General features: G+C 35.7%; 1 pseudogene; it reads left to right on the forward strand.

Annotated features, from left to right (window-relative positions):
* Window positions 1-5,221, forward strand: part of TEX16P (testis expressed 16, pseudogene) — a 44,562-nt pseudogene extending 39,341 nt beyond the window's left edge.

The raw sequence follows: 9,930 nt of genomic DNA on the forward strand, positions 1-9,930 counted from the left end.
ATTCACATCATTTGGGATACCAGATTGCTCAATACTTTCTGAGTATATTGTACCCTTGATTTTTAGCTCCAAGTGGCAGTTTATAAAATTGGCCTTTTACCTGGATATAAAATAATAGTGCCTGCCACCACCATCCAACAGACCTGGTGCTCTAGTGCCAAGTTATACATGGGACAGTTGCTGGGATGTCTTCATTTGCTATATAAAATGTGGCCACGAAGATAGGCACTCAGAGTAAGAAGTCTGTGATTGTTGGCAGTAACTGTCCCTGCTCTCTGGTGTAAAGCTCTCAAATATGACTATGTGAATCTGGGTGGGATAATGAACTCAGCTTCATCTGCTCAATGCTATTGTGCAGGGAAGCACCCTAATGCATAAGCTTTTTAATGTTGTAAAATATAGTAGCTGAAATTAAATGCCACTTTTTCAGAGGTGAATTAATGGACAGGTCAGCCCTAGATGTATAGTATGTAATTTCTGCACAGCTCTCTGTTTAGTAAATACATCACTATATACTGATCAGGAATCTTGCTCCAATAAAGGAACATAAAGATTTTGAAAAAACAAAAACAAAACAAACAAAAGAAGAAACTTTAATTATATGCATTTCTTGCATTGTGTACAAAAATAACTGAGTTAGATCTAAATAACAAATTAGTATGATAATAAATATATAAATAGTATATATTAATACATTACTATTTATTTAATAAATCCTAAAACTAAAAAAATTGTTGATGAAAACAGGGCAGAAAAATTTTTGTGACCTTGGGTTAGGCAAAGATTTTTTTTGGATGCAAAAATAGAAGCATTGTATATTTTAATTAATTTTTATTTTTATTTCAATAGATTTGGGTATATAGGCGTTTTTGGTTACGTGGATAAGTTCTCTAGTAGCGATTTCTGAGATCTTAGTGAATCTGTCACCCGAACAGTTTACACTGTCCCCAGTATGTAGTCTTTTCTCCCTCACCCCCTCCCAACCGTCCCCATGAGTCTCCAAAATCCATTATATCATTCTTATGCCTTTGCATCCTCATGGTTTAGCTCCTACAAGTGAAAACGTACGATGTTTGGTTTTATATTTCTTAGTTACTTCATTTAGAATAATGGCCTCCAGTTCCATCCAAGTTGCTGCAAAATACATTATTTCATTCCTTTTTATGGCTGAGTAGTACTCAATGGTGTATGTATATCACATTTAATCCACTCATCAGTTAATGAGTTAATGAGCACTTAGATTGATTCCATATATTTGCAATTGTGAGTTGTGCCATGATAAACATATGCATGCAGGTGTCTTTTTGATATAATGACGTCTCCTTTGAGTAGTTACCCAGTAGTGGGATTGCTGGATCAAATGGTATTTTATTTTCTTGCAGCTATTGTAAAAGTGATTGAGCTTTTGATTTATTCCCAGCTTGGTCATTGTTGGTGTAGAGCAGTGCTACTGATTTGTGTACATTGATTTTGTAACCTGAGACTTTACTGAATTCATTTATCAAATGTAAGAGTCTTTTGGAGGAGTGTTTAGGGTTTGTAGGTATACTGTCATATCATCAGCGAACAGCAATTACTTGACCATTTCTTTTCTAGTTTGGATGCCCAGTTTTTTCTTTCTCTTGCCTGAGTTTTCTGGCGAGGCCTTCCAGTACAATGTTGAGTAGAAGTGGTGAAAGTGGGCATCCTTGTTAAAGCTAAGATATTGATAAATATCATATCTAAATATCCAGAATCATGTGCCAGCAAGTTTTTAATAGCTATGGAAATTGATTCTTGCTATTAAATAAAATATCAAAAAGTTTTCCAATTTTGACATATCAAGCCCAAGAATATTATTATCTTCAAACACAGAAATTTTATAAATTATAGCGATTATATTCCATGAAAGAAAAAAATGTAAGTATTACTAGAGGCAAAATTAACAAGTAATATAGCTCTGTAGTAACCAAGCTATGTAAAACAACCATTTTATTTTGGCCACGTTATTCCAATGAATTCCTATATAGTGAGTTCTCATCTTAAAAGGAAGATCTGTGAATCTGAAGAGTATAAACATATGAGATAAATGTACACATTTCATTTTTTTATGTTTTAGCAAGCTCAAGTTCACACCTACTTGAGGAGAAAATTTAGGATCATGTCTTCCTCTTGAAATATCAGATAATACTGGCAATAACTTACTGAAGGAAATATTTTTTGGCACAGATTTATGTTGTAATGTCAGCGTCAAAGTCAGATTTCATTATAGTCTTACTTATATTTTACTTGTTTCTCTCCAGCATTTTTCATAATTCAACCTGTGAGGTACCTCAGTGATTACAAAATTATGGGATTCAAAGAGGTGTCTCCAACTCTCAGAGACAAACAAGAATCACAGCAAAAGTTAAAGGAAAAATGCAGCAACAACCTTTCCCTAGACCGAAATACTTTCATAGATAACAAGCATCACATAAATGAAAACCACAAAATTTATCTACATAAGAGCCACTATAAGGACTACAGATATACACATAATTTTCAGAGTTCTGGGTCTCAAATGAATCCTATTCATCTCCTAATTGCTGAGAGTTACAACTCTGGCATTCCACCCAAATTCTGTAAGCCCTAGGTCTGCTGTACACTCCAAGACTCATAAAAATAACACATATTCTTTGGACATGGGAGCTCAAATATGTCCCAAATGTTTGATGGAAATCAGTAATTCTCTTTTTCATATATGCCTCATAAATTCTAATGATGATTCAGACCCTGACTATCCTTTACATCTCCAATTTCCCTTAGATTGAAAATATTATCTGAACCCAAATCTGTTAGACACTGCAAGACTTCTCAAAATAGCCCCTTTTCTCGGTCCCTGGATCCTAAGTCTCCTGTGGGCAACCACTGTCCTCTACACCAGGAAGATTCTAAATATTCCTTAGGTTCAACTTCTTATTTACATTGTGAAAGTTGCTCAGCTTTCCAAAATCTCTTAGGCTTTACTATTATCTGTACCTTTTTCATGAAACCCCAAAATACCATGAGCTGCCATAGTACCCCTGGCCCAGGCAATGTCATCAACCCCAGCAACATTTCTGGTCTTAAAAGTGGCGGAAAGTACAATGTAACTTTCAAACCCCAAAATGAGGCCAATCCTAAAAATAAGACTTAACTGATCGGTGCTGGCAATCTCAAAGATAAGACCAATGCCAAAGACAAGTCTTTTCCCAAAGATTAGTTAGACCATGAGAATAAGACAGAATCTGAAGATGAGACAGATGCTGAAGATGAAACAGACACTGAAGATAAAGACAACAACAAAGATAAGAAAGATCCCAAAGATAGGTCTGATACTAATGACACTAATCCTAAAGATAGCAATGCTGAAAATTATGTTGATACCAACAATGGTTCTGATCCCAGTGGTGATGCTGGCTCTGCAAGTGGTGATAATTCCAACAGTGATAGTGACCCTAATAATGGAACTGACCCCAGCAGTAAAACTGACCCTAACATTTGATATGTCACTAACAATGATGCAAACTCCAAATATAGCACTGATCCTGAGGAAAACAAATACATCAACAATTCAGACAATGCTTCTGGCTTAGACAATAGTGTTGATAAGGAAAGTACTGCTGACTCCAACAATGGCACTAATCCAAATCACACCTCTGGGTCCCTAAATAGAACTGGCCAGGACCACACATCTGATTCCAACAATGATGACAGCCCTAGCAATGCCACTGAGCCAGGCAATGACATTTTCCACAACAGTGTCCCTGACTCCAAAAATATTAAAAATGGGTCCTAAGAGCCACAGCCCGAGCAACAATGGCACTGGCCTCAACAACAATTGCCTTGGCCCCAACAATAGCCCTGGCCCCCTAAAAGACCTTGAATCTAAATATAATGCCAGGCTCAATAATACTACTACTCACAACACTGCTATCTGTTCTAATAATGATATCGACCCCAATTACAGTACAGAACTCATTAGTGCTGCTGGATACAACTATGCAGCTGCCCCAAACTATGACACAGACCTTGACTATGTCCTAGGATTTACCCACACAGTGGATTCTAGCTTTGTAGTTCACCCAAACTATATTGCTAGAAACAGTTTTATGTCACCAGCCCTAGCTTTTCAACTAGTGCAGTCAATGCAACTGACATCAACACCACCACTGGTTGTAGTCATGCTATTAGTCCTAGCTATATTGCAGGTGTCAACTGTGCCTCAGACACAAACTATGTCCTTAGATTTACTCATTTCATTGTCTAACTTTGTCAATGATGGCTCTAACTTTGTCATCAACCCCAATTATATGTCATAAATACTCATAAAGCTCATAATTCCACTATTACCATCAATATTAATTTTCCAGAGCCTGAATTAAAAATCCATTCCAGTTTCTCTATTCCTAATATTGTTTATAGAAATTCCCCCAACTTTTGCTGTTGGCACTAACTATACTTCCACTCCTGATAATTTGACCATCTCTAAATTTTCTGATCCATATAAGCTTGGTAGAAATTATACAATTTTTAATGACCACAAATTTGGTGCTCACTTCAAAGTCTCTGCTGACTGCATGGACTCTGCTAGCTTTAAGCATATCACTGACTCCAAAGATGTCCTAGATGCCAAGTAGTCTAACTTTTTAACAGATTTCTCTAGGGTCCAGAATCCCATTGGTATCAAGAATCCTGCTAGTTTATAGTTAGAGCAGTCGTCGGCCAACCTCCCCAACAGCACTTGGGTTTTCCTGTTGAGAGGGGGTACTGAGAGACAGGACTAGCTGGATTTCCTAGGCAGACTAAGAATCCCTAAGCCTAGCTGGGAAGGTGACCACGTCCACCTTTAAATATGGGGCTTGCAACTTAGCTCACACCCGACCAATCAGGTAGTAAAGAGAGCTCACTACAATGCTAAGTAGGCAAAAACAGGGGTAAAGAAATAGCCAATCATCTATCGCCTGAGAGCAGAGCAGGAGGGACAATGATCGGGATATAAACCCAGGTATTCAAGCCAGCAACAGCTACCCTCTTTGGGTCTCCTCCCTTTGTACGGGAGCTCTGTTTTCACTCTATTAAATCTTGCAACTGAAAAAAAAATCCTGCTAGTTTAAACTTCCGTGACAATCCAAATATTCCACTCCCTAGTGTTGATATTATAGTAGAAGCTGAACCACCAGATGTTGTGAAGTTTGCCATACCATCAGGTGCTGTGAATCAGTTTTTAAGGTAAGTTTATATAAGTGTAGATTTTAAATTTCTTCTCATTTCCTATAATTCAGAGTATTAGGTCATTGAACAGAATCTAAAACTTCCTTTTTCACTTGGATATATAAGCTATGGAAGAGAGGTAGCAGGATATTCAGTATTACTTCTCCTTTGACCTTTAAAGCCAGCAACATGGTTTTCCATTTGAAATATCTATCTGCTGTACAGCTGGCGAGTGGCAAAATGGTCTTGGTTTCTCTGTGGCTGGCTGGTTTTCTACTCTATCAAGGGTTGCATAGTTCATAAATGTAAACTTAGCCATAATCTATTGACCTACTTCCTCTTGTCCATACATGGCCTAGTGTTAGTACTTTCCTTCTAGGTGCAGAGAGAGAATAAAGCCAAATGAGCGTTAAATACCATGGACCAAGCCATTTAAAAACAACCATGTCTCAAAAAATATCATTTTATTAAGAAGACTCTCTGAAATAGCCATGATATTTTAATCTCTCACTTAAATTCATAGAATTTGAGTTACTTTGATGACACAATAGGCAGGAGCAAAGAACTCCAAATCTTTTCTACTTTTGACTTAAAACTTTATCTTATTTCTCCTGAAAATAAGTAAAATTATATTTTTGATGAATAATACATCTTTATCAAATTTTTTCTCTAGCACTCTGAATTGCATACACAAATTAAGATTGCTAAGTTTGATAACTATTTTGACAGCAGCAAATATTCTTTTTGATGAAATATTATTAATGTGTTTTCATTGTGGCATAATTAAAATGGTATGCATTGAATTTTAGCCTTTTTATTCTTCATTAGTCAAGGTAAACAAACATATTTAATTTGGATTATAATGTTTGTGTGCATAAATGTGCGACGTGAAATACTTTGTTTTCTATTATAATATATAATTGAATGTATCTATACATTTAGATGAGACACAGATTCTTATAACCAAAATGAAAGTATAAAATTGGTATTTCCATAATATTTTTACTTTAATAGAGAACAATTTTGTGATGTTTCTAAGAGACCTCATCTCCCAAGAAAGAGTCGTGATTACCTAGTATAGTTTTACACCTTCTCCTTTTGTAAACTTAAGGGTAATGTTGGCCGCTTATAAGTAATAAATATAATATTGCCCAGATAAAATCCTTAACATTAGAAAAAAGTGACATGTTTTTCCCAGTAGTTTCTTACAAATGAAACTTTGCAGTAGTATGAAAGTATTTCTTTTCATTTTACATTTATTTTAGGTTCATGGATACATATGCTGGTTTGTTATTATATAAGTAAGCTCATGGCATGGAAGTTTGGTGTACAGATTATTTTATCACCCATGTATGAAGCATAGCACCCAACAGGTATTTCTCTCTGATCCTCTTCCTCCTCTGACCCTCCATCCCCAATTAGGCCCTAGTGTCTGTTTTTCCCCTCTTTGTGTCCATGTGTTCTCATCATTTAGCTCCAACTTGTAAGTGAGAACTTAGGGTATTTGCTTTTCTGTTCCTGCATTAGTTTTCTAAGGATAATGGTCTCCAGGTTCATCCGTATTGTTGCACAGGACATGATCTCATTCTCTTTTTATGATTGTATAGTATTACATGGTGTATATGTACTACATTTTCTTTATCCAGTCTACCATTGATGGTCATTTAGGCTGACTCCATGTCTTTGCTATTGTGAATAGTGCTGCAGTGAACATATGTGTTGATGTGTCTTTCTGGTAGAATAATTTATATTCCTTTGAGTATATACCTAGTAAGAGGATTGATGGGTCAAATGATAATTCTTTTTTTAGGTCTTTGAGTAACCACCACCTTGATTTTCACAATGGTTTAGCCATCTTACACTCCCAAGAGCAGTGTATAACCATTTCCTTTTATCTGCAACCTCACCAGCATCTGTTATTTTTTTATTTTTCAATAGTAACCACTTTGACTGGTGTAAAACGATATCTCACTGTGGATTTAATTTGCACTTCTTTAATGACTAGAGATGTTGAACATTTTTTCATGTGCTTATTGGCTACTTGTATGTCTTCTTTTGAAGAGTGTTCATGCCTTTTGCCCATTTTTTAATGAGGTTGTTTTTTGCATGTAAATTTAAGTTCCTTATAGATGCTGTATATTAGACCTTTATCAGATGTGTAGTTTGCAAATATTTTTCCCATTCTGTAGGTTGTCTGTTTATTGTGTTGGTAGTTTCTTTTGCTGTGCAAAAGCTATTTAGTTTAGTTAGACCTCATTTGTCAATTTTTGCATTTGTTGCAATTGCTCTTGGTATCTTTGTCACAAAACCTTTGTCAGTTCCTATGTCCACAATGGCATTTCCTAGGTTATCTTCCAGAGGTTTTATAATTTTAGGCTTTATATTTAAGTCTTTAATCCATCTTAAGTTGGTTTTTGCATATGGTGTAAGCAATGAGTCCAGTTTCAATCTTCTGCATGTGGCTAGTCAGTTATCTCAGCACCATTTATTGAATAAGTGGTTATTTCCCCATTGCTTGATTTTTGTCAGCTTTGTCAAAGATCAGGTGGCTGTAGATGTGTGCAGCATTGTTTCTTGGCTCTCTATTCTGTTTCCTTGGTCTATGTTTCCGTTTTTGTACCAGTATCATGTTGTTTTGGTTACCATAGCCCTGTAGTATAGTTTGAAATCAAGTAACATGATACATCCAGCTTTGTTTTTTTCACTAAGGATTGCCTTGGCTATTCAAACTTTTTGCTGGTTTCATATGAATTTAACAATAGTTTTTTTCTAGTTTTGTATAGAATGTTATTGATAGTTTGATAGAAATAGCATTGCATCTAAACCATTATAAATTGCTTTAGGCAGTATGGCCATTTTAATGATATTGATTCTTCCTATCCATAAGCATGGAATGTTTTTCCGTTTGTGTGATCTCTGATTTCTTTGAGCAGTGTTTTGTCATTTTCATTGTAAAGATCTTCTGCCTCCCTGGTTAGCTGTATTCCTAGGTTTTTTAATTTCTTTGTGGCAGTTGTGAATGGGATCGCATTTCTGATTTGACTCTCAGCTTGGATGTTGTTGGTTTACAGGAATGCTACTGATTTTTGTATGTTCATTTTGTATCCTGAAACTTTGCTGAACTTGTTTATCAGCTGAAGGAGCTTTTGGGCAGAGACTAGGGGGATTTCTAGATATAGAATCGTGTTATCTGCAAACAGGGATAATTTGACTTCCTGCCTTCCTACTTGGTTGCCTTTTATTTCTTTCTCTTGCCTGATTGCTCTGGACAGAACTTCCAATACTATGTTGAATAGGAGTAGAGAGAGAGGGCACCCTTGTCTTGTGCCAATTTTTAATGGGAATGCTTCCAGCTTTTGCTGATTCAGTATGATGTTGGCTGTAGGTTTTTCATAGATGGACCTCATTTTTTTTGAGGTATATTCCTTCAACTCTTAGATTACTGAAGGTTTTTAACATCAAGGGATGTTTAATTTTATCAAAAGCCTTTTCTGCATGTATTGTGATAATCATCTTGTTTTATTTCTGTTTATGTGGTGAATAACAGTTATTGATTTGCATATGTTGACCCAACCTTGCATCCCAGGGATAAAACCTACTTGACTGTGGTGGATTAGCTTTTTGATGTGCTGCTTGATTTGGTTTACTAGTATTTTGTTGAGGATTTTTGCATCTATTTTCATCAAGGATGTTGGCCTAAATTTTGTTGTTGTTGTGTCTTTGCCAGGTTTTGGTATCAATGATACTGGCCTCATGGAATGGGTTGTTGAGGAGGCCTTTCTCCTCTATGTTTTGGAATATTTTCAGTAGGAATGGTACCAACTCTTCTTTGTACATCTGGTAGAATTCTTCGGTGAATCTTTCTGGTGCTGGGCTTTTTTTTTTTTTGGTTGGTAGGTTATTTATTACTGATTCAATTTTGGAACTCATCCTTGGTCTGTTCAGTGATTCAGTTTCTTCTTGGTTCAGTCTTGGGGGAATATATTCATCTAGGAATTTATCAATTTCTTCTAGATTTTCCAGCTTCTCTGCGTAGAGATGTTTATACTGGTCTCTGATGGTTATTTGTATTTCTTAGAGATGAGTGATAATGTTCCCTTCATCATTTCTAATTGTGTTTATTTGGTTCTCCTTTTCTTCTTTATTAAGTCTAGCTAGCAGTTTATCTATTTTAATTATTCCAAAGAACCAATTCCTGGATCCATTTATCTGTTATATGTTTTTTGTGTCTCAGTCTTCTTCAGTTCAACTCTGGTTTTTATTGTTTCTTGTCTTCTGCTGACTTTGGGATTGGTTTGCTCCTGCTTCATTAGTTCTTCTGGTCATGATGTTAAGTTGTTAATTTGAGATCATTACTTTCTGATGTGGGCGCTTAGTGCTTCATGTTTCCCTCTTAACACTGCCTTAGCTGTGTCCCAGAAATTCTGACATGTTTTCTTTTGTTCTCATTAGTTTCAAATAAATTCTTGACTTTTGTCTTAATTTCATCATTTACCCAAAAGTCATTCAGGAGCAGGTTGTTTAATTTCCATGTGATTTTATGGCTTTGAGGAATTTTCTTTATATTGAAATATATTTTTATTGCACTTTGTTCCAGCAGTGTTGTTATCATTTCAGGTTTTTAAAAAATTTATTGAAGATTGTTTTACAACTGATTATGTGGTCAATTTTAGAGTATGTGCCATGTGGTGAGGAGAAGATTGCATATTCTGTTGTTAA

This window comes from Homo sapiens, chromosome X (assembly GCF_000001405.40).
Source record: "Homo sapiens chromosome X, GRCh38.p14 Primary Assembly".
Lineage (NCBI taxonomy): Eukaryota > Metazoa > Chordata > Mammalia > Primates > Hominidae > Homo > Homo sapiens.